The sequence below is a fragment of the Homo sapiens genome, chromosome 4 (assembly GCF_000001405.40).
Source record: "Homo sapiens chromosome 4, GRCh38.p14 Primary Assembly".
Taxonomy (NCBI): Eukaryota; Metazoa; Chordata; class Mammalia; order Primates; family Hominidae; genus Homo; species Homo sapiens.
The window spans coordinates 31,126,930-31,148,202 of record NC_000004.12 but is presented as its reverse complement, the minus strand read 5'-3'; the positions used below and the strand labels follow the sequence as shown (position 1 = coordinate 31,148,202).

The following is a 21,273-nucleotide window of genomic DNA, read 5'->3' as shown; positions in this document are numbered from 1 at the left end:
AAAGTAAATAAAAGTAAAATCATCCTTGATAAATGGCTTATCTAACTATAGCTTACATTGCAGATATGAGACTTTTGAGATAAATCTTATAGTAAATGTGAAGTATTGCTGTAAACAGGTAAAGTCAAGCTTCTAAGTTATGAGATGAAATTCTTCCATTGAATCAGAGATGGTAGAATAATCAAATCTATGCCTTGGAAGCAGTTCCATGCAGGTTTTTTTAGCCATGTTTTTTCCCCTCTCTTATGTGAAAATTTAAAGTCTACTTCATAGTGATCTTATTTTATGTACTGTTCCATTAAAATATGTACTCATGTTTAGCTCTCACCACTAGAAAAGCAGAAAGCCAAAATGAATGGACATATCACTTCTTCACCCCATTCCAATTTGAAGTAGACCTTCTCACCATACTTCACCCTAATTCCTTCTTTAGAGAAGAAAGGCTGCCTGTCAAACTCAATTTTCAGAGATATCTTTGATTCAAGAAAATATACGTCATCTAATATAAATAAAATATATTACATTTTCACATAAGAGAGGGGAAAAATCTAGTAGAGAAGCCTCAGGTAAAGATCTTTAGAATATTTTTTCACATTGGTAGATTTTAGCATTGCTATTGTGAGATGGGACAGAAATTCCAAGCAATCTGTTAGTATATATAGAAAGTACTTTCCTTCTCTTTTAAGTCTCTGAGTTGGAAAAAAGGCCGTACTTGAGAGATTGGAGAAGAAAAGGTGCTTACTCGAATAGATACCAATTTAGTAAATAAAGAAGATAACTATAATAGTTAGGGACAGAATTTTATAACAAATTGTAAGTGGAATGATTAAAAATAGATAATAAAATATAGAAAAAATGTGAAAAGTAGAGAAAGTCCATTAAAGAAAAAGTAAGTTATCGAAGTAAAAATTATATTTTTCCTTTATTTTCTCTACATTTTGCATGATTTTTTAAAGCCTATAACTTTTTTGTATTTGTTGTTAAGTTAGATTAAAAACAAATATTTCCAAAACAAAGATACATTTTGACTTAGGATTACTTTTATCTTAAATGTGAAATTCCTGTAGATGCCTCTGAAAATAAATCAGTCTTCATGTTAATGATGTTAAGTTCCTTTTTCTGCCATACACTTTAAGGTAATAAGCTAGCTAGGTAAATGTCTCAGGAATTATTTTGATGAAACTGAAGGATCCGAGTTCTATTCCATTACGAGGCAAAGTAATGTGACAGTTATGAATGGCCCCCCCTAAATCAACAATTGCTGCCACATTAGCCTCCTTGTTGTGTCTTAATTTACAAGGAATCAAACCATCTTAAATCAAACTGGTACATGCATCCATTCACTTTTCGTCCAATCAAAACTGAATTACCTGTCAACAGAGAAGTACACTTACAAGTGTGAAACCATTTGACCATGTTATATTTTAATTTGCAGAGACAAAAATGACAAGCAATTTATTTACATAAAACTGTACAAAAGCAAATTAAATTATGCAAAGTATTTCATAAATAGTTGGACGAGTGTTTAATACATTTCGCCATGTTAAGCATAGTTGCGTGCATAGTGACTCATAATAAACGATGATAAATTGTTCTCTGCTTCACTATCAACATCCAAGTAGCAGAACAATAGTCAATGATTAACATTACAAACAGATCGTACCACACTGAACGCAAGTGCTTTAAACTGTAGGAAAAGTCTGAAAGTAAACCCTAGGTAGCTGAACAAATGATGCTTCCTCCAGATGTTATCATTACACCTTCACCTAGGTCACAACTCACAAGATTTACTATATTCATGATCATGCTCACTTTTTATTATTTATTTATTTATTTATTTATTTATTTATTTTTGCTTAAGGACACATTTTCTTATTTCTCACTGAGAGCATATACCTAAGATTATTTAGGTCTTTAGATTTCTCATGACTGTTTTTGGATGGCTGTTTGCTTCTTGACAATTTCTTCTGGTCTGTGTGTTTTATTCTATTTTCCTACAAGACAGCTTCCTAGGGTAGTGTTTCAGTCAGACATCCTCAGTACCATCTTAGTTCCTCCTCCCATAAAAATAATGCCTCCCTTGTTTTCTGAAACTCAGGCAGCAGGCCAGTCAGAAACCATACAGAAATGATATCTGGAGATTCAGAAAGAGCAGTAGATTTTAGATTGAAGCTACAGACGTTTTAATACACATAAATTTATATAGTTACTCATTAATTTATAAATGTGTCCTAATGTATAATGCATGCAAAATTCACTTGAGAGTCTTGTGTACAGAAAACAAATATGGTTTATATACTGTACAACCAAAATGAAACCATAGCTGAAAGAAACACAACAAAAAAGAAATAAAGAATAAAACTCTAAATCAGTATTTTACCTTGCCAAATGGACTGATTTCACTCCTGATAGTATCTCTGTGTTACACTTACAATAAACGCTTTCATCTTCTAGTCAGATTTAAGCAGCCCATATTAATGCCTTAACTTTGCTTTATGACATAACAATATTTAAGACTGGTCCATTATCTGAGTTTGTCAGAAGGCAAATTTTTAATATATTATTTATTATGTTCAGAAAATAAACATGGACAAATATACAGGATCAAAAAAGTTGGGAATAGCCCATTTCCCCTCATTGTCCAAACCCAACAACCGTTTTTTTACCGTAACAACAGGTATAAAAGGCACAGTTGCTTATTTTGCATTCACTCATTTATTTTTTTTGTTTCTTTTTATTGATTTTTTTTCAAAAGCACTCTATATATGGAGTGGCACCAGATTTAACCTATTTAAAATAAAAGTCATACAAACACAAAATATATTTCTGTGTCATGCCAGCTCATTATATAATAAACATGTTATGACAGCTAATTCTACTAGAATTACTGTGAATACTTACAGTACACTGAATTTTATTCTTTCACATCCATTTTAGTTTTAAAGAGAGGTTCACGAGTTAAATGACAATGGCATGGCTATCTTGAATGGGGTGCAAACATCATTGGGGAATGTGGATCCAATTAATCCGAAGGTCCGGTGTGACCCGTATTAGTTTTATAGACAAGAGAAGGGTTTAAGATAGGGTGAAATGAGCTATCAGTGGTTTCAATGTCTCATGAAAGAAAGAAATGCATTAAAAAAAAAAAAGTTTGTCAAACATCCGTGTTATGCAATTGAGTATTTTCTTTGTAACGTGCAAGAAAAAATGTGTATACATTTCATAAGTATCTTTAGAAGTATTTTGTCTTAATAGGTACTTACAGATTATACAAGGCAGAACTGCTTTAATGCAGTTTCCTAACAAAGTACTAGAATTGCATCTTTCCATAGTGTAAATAATAATCAAACATAAACATGTTCAATTACTGATATTTTAGTCCAATGTTTTTTGTTTCAATTACATATCTTTTTGCATCCTACCTATTATACATAAACTAACATCAAAATGAAAACTCCATTTAAGAAAGAGCATAAGGAAATGACCCCCAAATTGTACCCCACCAAACAGAGAAGCGGTTTTCAAAGATAAGTATTTTGAAGACCTATAGTGAATTATCAACCTATATTCCAGGCTGTGTCACTTTATAGTCTAAGAAATTCTGCAAAGCATGAAACTACCCAAAGCTACATTGTTTCTACAGTTTGCTAGAGAGCCATCAAGGCTATGCCTTAACCAGCTTGCAAACATTCAGTGATAAGTTTGTTCTCTTCACACCTGTTATTCCCTATTCTGTCCATGGATTGTCACTTTCGTCTGAATGTCCCAGCTCAATTTTCAGCCGTGTTAGGTTATCCTCTATAGAGTGAGTAGCTCAAAATCTGCATATTCTGTTTCTTTTTATTGCACTGGAAAAACTCTGCTTTCACCTTTGAGATATACATTCTGTGAAAAATGTCACTGCCCAAAACTCCTTTCTTTCATGTTCAGTCTAGATTTGTTTAAATAATGTTCAAATCACATTAGTGATAAAGTCAACTAGGGTGTCACCTTGTTTCAATGTTGTGAGTCTCAAAATATTTCTATATTGCACACGATTCAAAATTAATGCACTTGTGGTGCATCAAAGTGTGCACTGAACAAGTAAAAAATGCAATTGTAATTTAAAATGTGGATAAAAAGAGCAGCAAGCATAGCCTGGATTCTAAAATGATAATCGTGGACTTAACTATCAAGACTATATGCCAATGCATCTTTCTTAACCTACCCATGATCCATAAATACTATTTTAAAACATGGAATCTTCCCTGATAATATTACCTGAAACTAAACTTGAACCTCAACCAATTGCCTATTATAATACCAAAAATATATCTCACTAGTTTTCATTTTCTGCGCTTTCAAATAAAATCCATTTTAAAAGAAGGAACATTTTCCTGGGCACTATAAAATGAACTAGTGTTTGATTGTTTCTGTGCATACATGGGTTCAGTTGCTTTTGTTGTTTAATGGTTTTCCACGTCAAGACCAAATCAACTTCATGACTTCCCTGATCTGCCATATGATCTTTGGCCTTTGGATGATACAATTGTTCAAGTTAGTTAATAATAGTGGTCTTGTTCTGAAAAAATATATATAATTTTTAGAAGTCATAACTGGTGAAATTGATACATGTAATCAAGACTGTGTGTATACTGAGAATATTTGGTGAATGTATGGAATTGAAGTTGATGCTCTTGACCTGAAAATAACAACATATGACAATTTAGGACTGCAATCACCCACTGAGTATTGTTTTTCTCTTAGTCTTTGTTGGAATATTAAAGCTTTGATATTCCCAAAATACTTTTTAATACAGTCCCTCTTTCTAAGGACTGTACCTTTAGAGGGACTCTATCACTTTCAAAGGATTGCCTTTGATGGTGATAAACCATTTTCTGATGGTATGTCTGAAATACATTTTATCTGTCCTGCTTATTTTTGACCAGCCAGATGACACTCGAACAAAATCAAAGTGACTAAAATCATGCTTCAGCTTAGGGATAATGAGGGTGTGTTGTGTTCTGCTAATCAGGCTTCGTACAGTTACTGTGAAAGAAACTTGCAACTATCCCCCTTTTTTTTTCTTTTCTTTTTGTTTTTTTTTTTTTGGAGAGGGGTGGGGAAGAGAAAGTGAGTGTTGGGAATCAGTGAAGGGGTTAGACATGCAAGTAACAAGGATGGTTTCTACATTGTACAGTAGAATCAGGCTAACAGTATCACTAAAGGCCTGATCTGGAGGCAGAAGTGGCAGGCAAAGCTTTGTCTCTTTGGTAGCCCCCTCTTTGTGATTAAACGTTTTGCTTTGTAAGGTTTTTGCCCCTTATTCTCCTTTTCATACATGTAAAGAACTTTGCTGTTGCTCCTTTATAGCCTACAGGTAAACTTCTCTTCTAGTGAGAGTATTGACAGGAGATGGCTTATATTCCCCTGTTTTTGTAAGGGGAATATCCTCAGGGTTGGCTTCCTCATTTTTGCTGAAACTAGCTGCACTGAAGGTCTCATAGGATGAGGTCAACTTTTTGTTCAGGAGGTTTCTGTTGCGGTCACCCATGATGGCGGCCTCCCCATTGGCCAGCTTTTCCTGGCTTCCTCGTTCATCAACAGGCATGAAAGTGGACAGTTTAGGCTGGCTCTTCTTCCTCTCCGGAGAAGTGCGGACCGGCATCCAGCAGGAGTCTGAGTGGCCATACTCATCACACTCACGAGTGCACTTCCCAGTCAGGGCTACATCTGGAAGAGGCCTTGAATCTGAAATCCAAGGAGAATAAGCCATTAGTATTTGACACTCCTCAACAGGCTCCCCTGATCTATATGAAATTAGAGGAAATATATAAATATATTCCTTACCATCTTATTTCTCATTTCCCAACACCCTCTAGCTCATCATTCCATAGGACAGTTTTTAATCCCATGTGCATCAAAGATAAGGTTTTGCAAGGACATCCAATATTATAGAACAGGAAAGTAGACAAAATGATACATTTAAGTGTGTAGATGAAACAGATATATGTGTGTTTGTTACAGGACAGGGACATGAGGATGGTCTCAGTTAGAAGCTCTAAATACATAGGTAAATTTGTATGGGTGCTAATATTTTCCACATCCATAAGAAAAATTATTAAATCCAAATAGACAATTTTCTGGATTTATAAATTATCCCAGAAGTGGTGTGCTTTTGCCAATTGGATTTCTTCCTGCTTATACATTATTCATAGAATGCAAATATGCAAAACCTTATATTTAAAATACATTCTAAGACATGGGGTGACTCATAAGTAGAACCTAAATTGACAGCACATTATGTGGTAAAAACTAAAAAGCAAGGAACCAGTAGTTACAGGTATAAGCATACTAGCAATATCACGCACCTGCCCACCCTAGCCCACATCCCCTCACCCCCCTCCTACCATGCCAAATGACCTAATATGTGCTGATGTGTTCACATCAAAATACACAGGCCATCTTATCTGAAATGTAATGTACTGGGTGAATACGGGTAAGTTACTAAACTTTGGATGAACTAGCCTGTACTCTAATTAATGGTGCTGTCCAATGGAATGGGAAATGACTTTTACTTCTAAAAGGCTAAATCATGTACAAAGAATTCTTAGGAAACAAGATTAAAGATGACAGTTAATAATTACCTGTATGTATAATTGAAAGCATGTGTCTGTCTTTGGAGAATGGTTATGTATTTTCTAAATATTAAACATGTTTTTACAGACTTTGTTTGAGAAAGAGAGAATGGGAGAGAGAAAAGCCTGTTCTACTTCAACAGATTCTGAGGCAATAACCTGAAGGGTTTTATTTAAAATGTTTTATTGTTTTTTATTGCCAAACAAAAGAACATAATATGACTGCATTCCAGTTGTTATCACATGGTATCATTTTATTACAAGGCTTGGGACTTAAAGACTGACGAATTTGACCTCTGAAAATATATTTGCAACCAGTGGAATCAGTGAGATGTGCATATGCACAATCCTAGTAGATTCGTTTAAAATAGAAGAGGAAGTTATTTAAATTATTCCCAAGATATGTACACTTTCTGCTTTTGCTTCCACACCCCATCCCCTGTAGTTTAACATTTGTATAGGATATTTTAGACGTTTTACTTGGCTAAATCTCCTAAATGAAGGCTCGCCACTAATGTTTGTCATTTTTTCCTTCAATGATGGGTAACTGAAGTATTGACATTTGTCGGCCCATCGATTATTGAAACAGCGTCCTGGGATTTTTATGCCCTTGACTAAGCGTTAACAAGGAAATTCTAGTGTTCTACACCGGAAATCTAGAATTAGCTGACCCTTTCCTGTAGGTAAAATGTAAGGTTAATTATTTATTCCAGTTGCCGATGCTGCCATTTGACTTACAAGTGAGCAGATTCTCTTAATTTTTTCATCAAAAGAAAAAAGTACTTTCCCACTCATTTTTTTACCCTAAATTGTCTGTTTCTCAAATACGTATCTTAGATGCATTATAATAATCAAATTATTGACAAATTTTATTAGTGGTTTTTGTAATCTAGTTGGTTTAAATGAACAAACTGCAAGTTCTTTGAGAATATTTCCTATTTTGGGATCCTTTTTTCTTTTCTTTTTTTTTTTTTTTTAACCTGACCTAAATGCTTTGAACAGGGGGAAAAAAGGATAGAAATGCAAAGTGTAAGATCAGGTCTGCATTTTACTCAAAATATTTCCTTTTTTTTTTTTCACTGCTTCAACAAATTCAAATTGCTCCTCTTTTCTTATGATAGTGAATAGCAAGGACATGGGAAAATAATCAGGAATTTAGCTTCTAAAATATAAAAAAATCTTTATGAATGTGGTTGTTATTCCCTGCAGAAATGACCCTGAATTGTCTCCAATCATCTCTCCACATTTATGTCTCACACAATATGTCATTTCACTTACACAGTGACTTATACAGGTGGCTGCTTTTCAGGGATTAATTTGTGTTTTTAGTTTGAAATTCATTGCACTTGTTTTCCTGTTGTTTGAGATGCATTATAAACAGCTTGTAATTCTATATTCATGCTCAAACAAGTCTTCTTACTTTTTAACTTGTGTACCTAAACTACCTACAGCTCATAAGAGATTATAATCATTTATTAAATAGATTGACTGAATCTCCAATCAGCTATAAGTGAGATGCTCTTCAGTTCTTTCCTTCAGTCTTTACTTCACAGTCTGGAGTATTTTCTGCCAAAATTGATTTCCTCTATTGCTTTTAACGAAAGGCAGCTTGTCTTCTGTGCCATCATATACATGCAAGCTGCCACATCTCTATCCAAGAAGCATGACTTTTAATAAGGATCTCCTGTCATTTCCAAAGTAAAACACTTGATTGGGGACCACAGAGGAAGTTGACAAGCCTAATTGGCTGAGACATGTTGCAATGTTTGTCATCAAATTTAGAAAAATAATCAAGAAGGGCTATAAGAGATTCATCACAAGCAATCAAAACTTCCAATTTGGTTGACTAAAGTGAATCTTCCAAAGAAATACCAATGATTAACAAATGCAATCTGTATTACGATGCAACTTATTAAAGAAGGGCATGAGTGGAAAAGTATTTTTCTTTGTTTACATATTTTCTTATTTTAATTATGCATGCATATATTATGAATTTTTTCAACACAAAATTTATGCAGGATCTTAGATAAACATCACATGCAATTATTTCTTCTTTCCATAAAAGACATACTTTTAAACTGTCCTATTTTTTTGTGGCATTATAGAGGAAAGCCTTTCACAATTAGTAACTCTTCTTAGTCTTTCACTGAAGGATGTCTTTTCTAACATCTAAGAACATTATTTTATGCTTTAGTACTGTTGTTTTAAATTTTGATCTCAGTGAAGATGGAAGACACTTGATCACAAATCTTAGCTGGCATTGAGTAAATCAATACAAATGAACAACAGGAAAATAAAATAGTATTCTCTGTAAGCATTTTCCACAATAAAGCCAGTTCCTTAGAGAATTTTTTGTTGTTGTTTCTGTATTTCTCAACGCCCGCATACCCCATCAATCATATCAAACCTTGAGAAGACTGGAAGTAAAAAAATGGTATCCATCAAATCCTGTTCTTGCTTAGCATTACTTGTAGAGGTTTCCATTTTAACCAAGTTATGCTATTTACTAGAATCATTGCATCTTATTAGAAAGTTAAGATCCTTTCCTAGACATAAGGTTAATATCTCTCTTGAAAGTAGAGTTTTTTTTCTTTTCTTTTTTTTTTTTTTGAGACAGGATCTCACTCTGTTGCCCAGACTGGAGTGCAGTGGTGCAATCTTGCCTCACCGCAACCTCTGCCTCTCAGGCTCAAGCGATTCTCCTGCCTCAGCCTCCTGAGTAGCTACAGTTATAGGCGCGCACCACTACCACCTGGCTAATTTTTGTATTGTTTCAAAATACAATGGGGTTTCACCATGTTGACCAGGCTGGTCTTGAACTTCTGACCTCAAATGATCCACCTGCCTTGGCCTCCCAAAGTGCTGGGAGAAAGTAACAGTTTTTAAGCCATCAAACTAGCAAACAATCTTAGAACAATTCATAACACATGAAGTACTTCCCACATGAAGTTCATCTCTTTAATTTAGCACCTCAATCATATAGCAAGGAGGATGGAACAGCGAACGGGTCCAAGCTACGGGAGAGCTGAAGCCGAAGAATAAGTGTTTTGACTTTCAATTTACTGTTTTCCCACTACAACCCATTGCTTCTTCTTAAAATATAACAGCTGAGTTATTTAGAGGTCAATGACTGCTACTCATAACCATCTGAACAAGCTACAGTCTGCAGAGAAAGAGAAAAAAAAATCTGAGTAGCACAGGAAATAGATGTCACAGAGTCACAAATTTTACTACTTAGTGAAAAGAATGAAACAACCTCCCTAAAACTATACATTTTGGAAAGTGGAGAAAATTATATGTTTTCTTAAGAAGTCAGATTATCTCTCAAAAACATAGTATTTTTGTTTTTACTAGGCAGGGTAGATGGATGGGTGGTGGGCAGATGCTGCTAGATGCTGTTACAATGACCTCAACAAGAAGTGACAGATAGATAATAGAATCTTTAGAAATAACAAGGAAAGCCCAGGTTTAGAGAGGAATTTCATGTTTCCAGAAGATGCCTTACATAATTCAGAACCCATTAGAGACAAAATTATTATAGGAGAGCACAGTAGACTCATTAAGACTTGAAGACAGTTCTGCACCAGGAAGGATTTTAAGTATGCTGAGTTTTGCATCCTGTCAGAATCCCAGACACTCACTCTACTCCAGGTCCTTGGCTTGAGGCTAGAGATACATGGATCTTTGCATTTGCTGAGAGAAGGTATGAACATGTTATATTTAGTATTAAAATATTTCCAATGAGTTTTCTTAAAGATCAGATATGTAAAACTGTATGTATCATTTATTTGTTTAACTCACATATTATTTAATTTGCTGGCCATGTGAGATAAACGGATTGTTAAGTCAACGTATGGACTTCCCAGATGCCCACACCATTCCTCCAATTTGTTCATTAACATCAAGCTCTGGCATATGATTAACATTACTTGACAAAATCTGCAAAAAAATAAGAAGTATTTTCTTCTTTTTATTTATTTTGTTTTATTTTATTTTATTTTTCGAGAAGGGTCTCGCTCTGTCATCCAGGCTGGAGTGCAGTGGCACGATCTCGGCTCATTGCAACCTCTGCCTCCTGGGTTCAAGCGATTCTCATGTCTCAGCCTCCTGAGTAGCTGGCACTACAGGCATGCACCACCAAACCAGGCTAATTTTTTGTATTTTTAGTAGAGATGAGGTTTGGCCATGTTGGCCAGGCTGGTCTCGAACTCCTGATCTCAAGGGATCTGCCCTCCTCAGCCTGCCAAAGTGCTGGGATTACAGGCGTGAGCCTCTGCTCCCGGCCTGGTATTTCTTTCCTTTAGAGACAAAATAACAAAACAACACAAAACAAAACCACATGCAGGAACTTTTTCCTTTTTTCCTTTTTAAAGTGTTTGGTTTTCTTTCTATGTTTCTTGACTTCCCTCTACACAAAGACTTATTTTTTCTAGAAGCACACTTAAATGCTAGTGAAATTTGGTGGACTTACAAAAGGTTTTACAAAAGGGTAAACAAGAAAAACAAAAGATCAGTGAAAAATGTTTTACAACAAATGTTTTAACATTCCCTTCACTGTCATTAGTCTAAATGAAAATATCTTTTACTCAAATGATTAAATAAATGCTTTATTTTAAAATACCTGTTAGAAAATTGTTTACTTTTATTTTATATGATAGGGCTGAGAAAAAAATAATTAAATGCTGGTTAACCAAAACTTTTTTTTGGATGATTATTATCATAGTTAATAAAGATTGGAGGTGAGGAGACAAGATCCAAAAGATGCACAAGTGAGTTGGACTTGGCTTTTTCACGTAAATAACTAAAATATCCCTGCCTTTTGCCGGTTTGGGGAATTTAGGAAGACTGGACAGGCAAACACATCACAGTTCACGGTCAGGGCGGGAATCACTGACTCAGACCAGCAGTTTGTGATCCTCTAAATGTAGGAACACTTTCTGGAAGAGGAGAAATTTATAGTTATCTAAGTAAGTGTCACTCTGGCCACAAAAAGGCCATTAAGATTTCCAAAGAGTTTTTTAATTTATTACAGGATCACTTGATTTAACCAAAATAGAAGAGTATAGGAACACTGGCTAATCAATCAATCCTTGCTGTGGCATCATCTGTACCATTCCTGGGCCCTTCCTGCAAAGAGCAATGAACTTTTAAAAAGAGCAGGAGATTTAGAGTCCCAGTATTGCTCAGTGTGATTCCAGGCTCAACCACGTAGAAGCTGTGTGACTTCTGACATAATTTTTCTGAGCTTCAAGTTCCTTATATGTGAGATAATAATACCTACTCCCCCATTTATTGTGGGATAAAAGAGTTAATGTCTATACAGCTCGTAATATGGTCCTGGCTGCCGTGTAGGTGTTCAGTAAATAGTAGGTCATAGCCCCTGGAGAGATTTAAGGAGGTAGAGATTTTTTCCTCTCTGAAGTCTTCCAGGAATAAAAAGGATATTGTTTAAGAGAACAGGCTCAGTAGCCAGGTGATCTAGATTCACATTCTAACTTTGTCACTTCACAGCTGTATAAATGTGGACAAGTTCCTTGATTTTAGTTTCCTCATCTGTGTAATAAATGTTTAAGAATGTATTAATTTCTTAGAATTACTGTGAGAATTGAATGTGTTAATATATATAAAGTACCTATAATAATTTTTGACATGCAGTAAGCCCTCAATAAATATTACTTGCTTCAGGTGCACAATCCCTAATCCAAATTCAGTCTTCAAAATATCTTAGGAAAACAAAAGGATCTTGTTCCCCCTTCATAAGTTTACAACGAACCTGATATGAATTAATGCAAGGCTATTTGCATCTTTTTTGTCTCACTTAGTGTGAATATTCATATGTTTTACTATAGAAATAATGTGTTTAATTAAAAGCATGGCCTTAGACTTTTAGATTTTTAAAATAATATATGACACATGCATAACATATAACGTCTTATAACATATGAAGGATTCCAAATTTTGAAATGTATCTGGCTCCAAGGGTTTCAGATAATTTATTATGGAATAAATACCAATTGTCAAGCAAATGGGTACCTATTTTCAGTTAGTTTTCTAGTAGTGCTAATGGATTTATGCTGATAGAGTCTGTGATACACAGAGCTACTATCTATCTAGAGACATACGCTGGCCACTGGATCCTGGTTACTCCACATTAGGCATCCTCCTACTACTTTTCTATTAGGAGTTTGCCAAAGATTTATTCATCACGTGTCATGGTTGCTCAAAATTCAAGGGCAAATGATGTATTATTTGGAGTTATCTTTACAACCTCACAGATCAACCTCACGATTAATGATTTCACTTGAAACTTGCCCCTAAGATACTAGGTTGCCAGCGTGCTATCTTGCTTTGCTTGCATGGGCAGCACGAGGAGCAGCTCCATTAAAAGATGGGTCAAAATTAGCAATACATTATTTTAAGAATGAGAAATTGAAAATCAGGACAAGACAACCTAAACACAGGGTAAATACCTAAAATGCACCATACATCAAAAATCATAAAACAAAACAGCCATTCAGCATGAGCTATGAAGATTTCATGATGCATGGACATGAAATTCTTCCAGTCTCCCTACACATACCCACTTTGGAATGTGACATTACTACTCTTACTGTCGATTTTGCATCCCTTGAAGCTGGACTAGTGTTGACAACCAGAATGTGGCAGAAGTGATACTGTGCTATTTTCAGCCCAGCTATTAAGAGGTCACAACTTTGCATTCACCTTTAGAACTTTGGGATCACCATCCTGAGAGAAAGCATGGTCTAGCCTCTTTGCAGATGGAACCCCACTTGAGACAGAGACCCAGCTGACCCAGCAAAGTCTATCCTAGTCAGTTCTCCAGGTGAATGCAGTCATATGAGTGAGCCAGGCAGAACATGAAAAACCATGTAGTCAATCCACAGAAATGTGAGAAGTAATTGATCTTTGTTGTTTGAAGCCACTAAGTTATGTTTGTGTGTTTGTTTGTTTTGAGGAAATAGTTCATTGACAAAGCAATAGGCCCCTGAAATAATGATCATAGATATATTATGCTATGTGCAATAAATTAACTGTTCCAAGCAATAACCCAGGATCTAACAACAATACATTCTACTTCTTTTTTGTTTGTTTGTTTTTTGTTTTTTGAGATGGAGTCTAGCTCTGTCACCAGGTTGGAGTGCAGTGGCACAATCTTGGCTCACTGCAACCTCCACCTCCCGGGTTCTAGCAGTTCTCCTGCCTCAGCCTCCTGAGTAGCTGGGATTACAGGGATGTACCCCCATGCCCAGCTAATTTGTGTGTTTTTAGTAGAGACGGGGTTTCATCATGTTGGCCAGGATGGTCTCGATCTCCTGACCTCATGATCCCCCAACCTCGGCCTTCCAAAGTGCTGGGATTACAGGCATGAGCCACCGTGCCTGGCCCATTCTACTTCTTTTATATCTCCTCATCATGGATAATAGACTGACCAATATCACTGCAAGTACAATGCTTATAACAGAACATTTTCAGAGATATAAGCACATTTAATTAAGAAGTTCAAGTAGAGAGCTACTATCTAAACCTTTAGAAATTCTGGTCCTTTAATTACAGGATTTCACTGTGTTATACCTAGGAGTGCTCTAGTTCAAGCTGACATGCCAAGACAATATTAAAATGTTTAAACATGTCTGAAAGCATCAGCAACTTTTCTTTGTACCTTAGGCTAAACTCAAACAGCAATTGAATGTATCTCAAGAAGCATTTACTGCCCTTAGGCTTAGACCACTGTCATTCTGAATGTGGCATTATTATATAGAGTGGAGATTCTGTACGCCACATCTCAAGCAGTCTTGCTGAATCAACTCAAACATGAATCTGCTGGCTGGCACATGAAAACTGCACTACAGCAGAAAAATGTGCGAGGACTGCTTAGGAGCGATCAATTTATGCACATCAGAGATGTGGCTTCACTTTGGTTCTCCTCTTTACCCATGCGGAGTTAGAGACAGCAGCGGTACTCATGTGAAGGAGCAGCGTGGAGAGGAAATAACTGCTGCAAATGAGATGATTCACTGATATAGATAAAGAGAATTTATAAAACCCAGGAACAGACAGGGGCATATATTCCACAATAACCAATTGATTATCCCACTAAGAATAGACCCAATTCTTGGTCATTCATGTTTACTTTTTCACTGAAATAATCATAGCTTTCATAATTTTCCTTCTTGTCCCTTGGATTTTCCTATATTCAAAATTACTTGCTCGGGAATTATATACTTTAATAATTTGTTGAAAACTAAAAGTACTGTCTCCTCACATAAATGCAAATATGTACCCACAAAATTTTGCATGGTTTCTGTGGGGTTCAAGATACCTGAATTAGAGTCTCAGAATAGTTCCAACATCCAGGTGAATGAGAAAAAGACAGTGTGTTTTCACACCTAGACCTTTTTTCCCCATTGAGTTAGAATCAAAGTCAAAAATGTTTAAAAATTCAGCACCTGTCCTCAACAAGCAGAAATTACATGTGGTAAATAAACTGCCATTCAGTGACACAAAGATTTAAAACAAACAAATTATAAAACTCATATTTAGAAGAAAAGAAAACAGGTATGATTATGTCAATATTTTAGGTAAGTTCTTTGGAGGCCCAAATCCAAAAATCCTAATAATCTGCAAGATTCTGTTTAAATAGAAAATTGATTCTTGGGAATGGATTTAACTGATTGCTGATCACCAACCTGAAAAAACTTGTCTTCTTTCCTACAATCCATGTTCAACATTTGCTTCAAACCAGTGTCTTGAATTGCCAGCAACTGAATCTTTGTTTATTTGTCATAAGAAGTAAAATCAGTTCTTGTTATCACAGAAGTCCAAATAAGAACAATAATGATGCAAATGGGGCACTGTTTATAAGTTAATAGAATTTGTTAGCTACTTTACAATGATAATGATTTTACTAGAAAGTGTATTGGTGTGGTACTAAAACAGTTGTAAGTATCAATTTAGAGCCACTTCATTTTAATGGTCTCAAATTATCAAATTTTACATCATAACTAGGTAATTATCATATGGCAGTATGATCTTTTTACTCATTAGTTCTGTAACTGGATTATTAACTAAATGTTTATTATTGATGATAAAGTTGTAGAATGTATATTCTATGATAAATATTAATATTGCCTTCAGGAATGGATGTTTACTTTAAAAATAGTACATAAAGTCTCCTTTAACTGTAAGAATATCACCTTTGGGTTGTAATCTTGAAGGAAGCGCTCATTTTATCTTTGCTATCCCCCATGACATATACTTTTACACAAATAAAAAGATGGGGGAAAAATGAGAATTGAAAAAATGTAATAGATATTTTCTTAAACTCTCTTTTCTTCCATATAAACCATGATAAAGCATTTCTAAAAGTAAATGAGAAGAAATAGCCTCTGCAATAAGCAGTTCTTATTAAAATACTTAATGAGTACAAATATGTTAAATCGAATTAATTCAGTTGTAGGGGATGTCTTAAGAAAGAAAGTATCACTACAGTAGACATCATGTGATATGAGGTATTTCCATGTGTTATTTTCTATTTATTATTTTATGTGAAAATCTAAAATGAATCACATTGAAGTTCAAATCATATTTGAAGTAGAATTGAAAGGTGATTACTTTTTGCACAGGGACAAATCACAGCAATTTAGATTTATTGAAGTAATCCTAATTTTTTTAATGTAATAAATATGACACCCATGCATTTTTCTTTCCTGTAGTCATCATGAGAAACTATACAGTTATTCTAATAACATGGCTATTTTCAAATCATATTCAAAGATAATATATTCAAATCATATTCTCAAACTCTTTGCTTGGGATTGCCTATTGAAACATTTCAGAAATCACACAGAAAAGCTTATTGGATTGGAACTACTCTTTTAATAACAAGCTGTGTTGTAATAGAATTTCATTAGTGATTGTGATTTGAGAGAAAGACAAAATTTCAACCTCTGAGGAAGGTTTCAAGCAAACATTGAGTTCTGAAATACTGTTAAGGGATGAAGATCTGGGAGCTTTTGTTAGGAGCTGAAAAACCATTCATGGGAAGAGTTTTAAACATTTGAAATGCTGGCTCCTTACTCTGATCAATAAGCTGATCAGTTGAAAGTAAAATTGGCAATCACAATTAGGAGCAAAAGAGTGTTGAAGAGCTCAGGAGTGCAGAGCAGGTAAATAAAAGGAAAAGGAAGAAAATGATCTCTGGTGACCAGCAAACAAAACTCAATGATCAGATAAAAAGGGGAGAAATCAATGAAGCAACACTGGATCAGTTTACTTCATTGATTTTCCCTGCTCATTGACATGTTTTCCTTTATTTACTGCCTATTACTTTGGAGAGTGGCAAAATCTCACTGTTAAACCTCCCGGGGAGCCTGTGATGCACGGAGAAGCAAGCTCTGGAGATCCCCTCATGCCAACATTATGCCTTCTCAGGCTGCATGGATTTAGAGGCAGTCTCAGTGCTCCCTGTGTTGGGGCAGGAGCTGCTCTGCGCATTCACTCTTACAACCTCTCTTGGTAGGCAGAATAATGGTCCCCTCCAAAAATGTATGCATCCTAATCTGTGGAACTGTGCATATGTTAGGTAACATGGTAAAGGGGAATGAAGGTTTCAGGTGACATTGCTATCTGAAACCTTCATTCCCCTTTGCCATGGTTGCTAATAAACTAACCTTAACATAGGGAGATTATACTGGATGACCTGACTCAGCCATTTTTTAATCACAGGGCTTCTTAGAAGTGGAAGTGGGAGACAGAAGAAAAGCCCATGTAAGAATAAAGTGATGTGAGAAAGACTGCACTTGTCATTGCCAGCTTTGAAGATGGAAAAGGAATGTAGGCATGCTCCAGAAACAGGAAGAGGCAAGGAAGCGGATTCTCCCCTTGAGCCTCTAGAAAGGGAATACAGCTTTGCTGAGATTTTGATTTTAGCTCTGGCAGATTTATGTCAGACTTCTGGTCTATAGGATTTAAATAAATTTTCATTGCCTTAAGACTCTAAGTTTGTAGTTATTGTTTATAGCTACAATGGGAACCTTAAACACATTCCCAATTCTCTGGTTGCAGTAGGGTTAGTATAGACTTGCTGCATTTGTGCTTTGTACCTATATTTCATCCATTAAAAGATATGGAGTGGAAAAACTGATTTTTATTTCCCATTGAGTCATGCGTACCTAATTTTTTAGAATACACTAAAGAATTTTCATTTTGCAGTTTTGAAAATTCTACTTCACTCTAGTATCCAACTGTCCGTATTATTTGTATATGATCAATCAACACACCTTAAATTATTTTTGTTCAGTAAAGTACAAACAGCTCACCTTTCTGGGTGATCATATTTTCCTTTCTCTACCCCTTAGTGATAGCTGCCTCTGGCACTATAATCAAAGGAATCATTTTAAGTCATTCTAAATTTGGGTAATGTAATTCCCAAGAAGAGAAGAGAATTTGACGTAACATCTAAGAAGCAGTGTCAGGTACCAGGGCACAACTCTAATAAATACTTTATAGGATTTATGGCATTTTTGTGATTTCTGATGTTTATTATTTGTTCATCACTTATTTTTTGTTGTTGTTTTCTTTAACCTGTTTCCCTCCTAGTGATTAGCAGAAAACTGTACCTAATAAAAAAAAAATTGTGGCCTGTTATGGTGGCTCGTGACTGTAATCCCAACACTTTGGGAGGCCGAGGTGGGTGGATCACCTGAGGTCAGGAGTTTGAGACCAGCCTGGCCAACATAATGAAACCCTGTCTCTACTAAAATACAAAATTTATCTGGGTGTGGTGGCACCTGTAATCCCAGCTACTCAGGAGGCCGAGGCCGGAGAATCACTTGAACCTGGGATGTGGAGGTTGCAGTGAGCCGAGATTGCACCATTACATTCCAATCCAGCCTGGGAGACAGAGCCAGACTCCTTCTCAATAATAATAATAATAACAAAATTTAAAGAAAATAATTTCATGATTATTTTAGGAATTGTAAGTAGAATAACAAGTCTGTTCCTAGTTTAAAACTCTCCTCCATAAACTTCAGTATAAATCACAAACCCCTTATTTTAGCACAAAAGAGCCTTTCGGATCTCACATGTTGCCATTTGCCACTTCCACAGACCTAAGGTAGGTATCATTTCTGGAAAGCCTCATGTTGTTCAATGTATTCATGATATTAATGTGTTTCTTCTGCTATTCCTTGACTTGTTATCTGTCTCTCATGAGTCCTTCAAAACAGTGTTCCAAGGCATCTCGTTCAAGATTTCTTCTGGATAGCCTGTGGAATTTTGATTCCTCATTGCCAGTTTGGTCTTCATCCTATGCCTACCTCTTCTTAGCACTTAATGTCTGGCACTGAAGTCTGCTACCTATTCATATGACCTTTTCTGTAAATATCACTCTCTATGGGCAGGGTAAGCTGTTCAAGTACATACTTTGAATCCTAGGACCATTCCAGTCCCATGCTCATTAAGGGCCTGTTGAATGGTTGAATGAAGGATATAGCAGGGAGACAGATTACCTGTCATCCCTGATGATTATATCTACCTTCACAATGGCCACAGGTAGAATTATTAGCAAGATATCTGTTAATCCTAAATGCAATGTCACTGGCCAAGCTGAGAAAGCAATGTGGCTTTTGCTTTTTTGTTTGGTATTTGCTGATCTGAATGAACTTCACCACTCACTCTCCTCATCCCCTTTTAGGACCTGTCCTATAACCTTTTTAGTTGAGATTTTCTTTCTAACAGAACAATGTAGTCAATGGGAATAACCCATGGAAGTGTTTTATAACACAAAATGCAGTCTTCAAACCCAGCCTAGGGAGCAGGGTGCTGTCAGTAGAGTCAGTAGAGGCTGCTAAGAAGAAGTCCAATGGGAAAATTCTATATTTAGTGGTCACAAGGAAATACACATGAACTAACCTGTTAAGCTTCTTTGCTTATGGATAATAGCTATTTTATAGTTATTTTAGCGTTGTCACGACTTCTAGTTGGCAGTTATACATGTCTTTTAAGAATAAACTTGGGAGATAATATTTATTATTGTCTCATGCACAGCTCATTCCATAGATGAAAATTTTCAAAACACAGATGAAATGTTTCTGATAGAAGAGATGAATAGCAGAAGGCTCTCTTCTCCCATCCTTGTAACTGAGGGCATTGTGATAAGAACTACTGTAGGCAATGTGCCAACCTAATACAGTTTGACAAATTTTATCTGCCTCATGGTAGTAACCTGATGAATACATTTAAAATGGGTATAATCATGGACAGTTTAGATCAGTGCTTTTCAACTGAGCGCCATGACCCATGAGATGGTGACTGAATCCATTTAAGGAGCTCTAACCAGCTTTACATGAAGTTCAGGTTACTTAAAGAAGATTTTGTTTCAGACTTTTATATGTGTGTCCGTGTGTGTGTGTGTGTGTATATATGTATATGTGCATACATATATATGTGTATATATATACACATATATACATATATATGCATATATATACACACACATATATACATATGTATGCATATGTGCATACATATATATATGTATATATATACACATGGACACACATATATATGCACACACATATAGGTACTTGATCACTGTGAAAAATGAATTTCTTATTTTGAGTCACACTGAAAAAGCTTGAAAGCCTCTATAATTTAATCATATTATATGGAAATTGGTGTATTTTGGCTATTTCTGTGTAAACTGTATGTTATCCTATGACATTTGCTATAGCATAATATAATTTTAATATGCACACAATGTCATCTGAATTTTAAATTTTACTTTTAGCTGTCATTTCAAATTACTTCAGAGACTAAAGTTTTATTCTTATTAAAAATAATTCAGATAACTCAAAGAATAAGAGTTAGTTACATCCTCAACAACCACTTCAGGAAATCTAATGTAAATATAGTTTCTTACCTTGAGATATTCTGAATTTACACTTAATTCCCTAGATTTCAATTTTCTAGAATTAGGTGTAATTGTGATGAACCTACTCATAATTCACTTAAATCTTCTGGTAGACTTTCATTTATTTCAATCAACAAAATGGCAACAGACCCTTTAAAAAAGGAGGATTTAATGTGACTTCTTAAAGTCATATAGACATTAAGATGTAGGACACATTCAAGCTATCTAATTGTACTGCTGGTCTAATGCCTAAGTATTAATCTGTCACAATGTCAAATTACATACATTTAGGCTTCTTCTTTAGTTAAACGTGTCTGCGCTTAACAAACTCATAGTGTAAAAAAATCAGGAGTGTAATTAGAATGTCATCTTTCCCATAGATGACTTAAGAAAAGCGTGAGTCAGAGCTTAACAGTCAATATAATTTCATAGATAATCATGGCAAAATTACGGTACTGCAACAATTTGAAGGGAGTACAGTGAGTGAGACTAGCAGACAGTGATGATCAACTATTCGTCTCCACCATCTGCCACACATGCTCTTTATTTAAGTCTCTCTTTTTTGTTTTTGTTTTTGCCAATATTTTCAGGTTTGACTTTGCCAGAAGTGGGTATCACATAGGAGAGCAGATTTCATGGTGTAAACAGATTTTCCCATGTGAGCAATGAATTCACTTCACTGGCTATTCTGCAGTTCTTAGGCAAAGAAGACTGGCTGCAGGG

General features: G+C 35.4%; 1 protein-coding gene across 2 annotated transcripts in view; it reads right to left on the bottom strand.

The window, feature by feature from the left end:
• Nucleotides 1-1,402: 1,402 nt before the first annotated feature.
• The window catches only part of PCDH7 (protocadherin 7), a 426,432-nt gene continuing 406,561 nt past the window's right edge, over nucleotides 1,403-21,273 (bottom strand). For both annotated transcript variants that reach the window (NM_001173523.2, NM_032457.4), the window contains exon 3: nucleotides 1,403-5,730. In NM_001173523.2, the coding sequence (NP_001166994.1) occupies nucleotides 5,354-5,730 (377 nt within the window). In that variant the 3' untranslated portion in view covers nucleotides 1,403-5,353. The remainder of the gene's footprint in view (nucleotides 5,731-21,273) is intronic.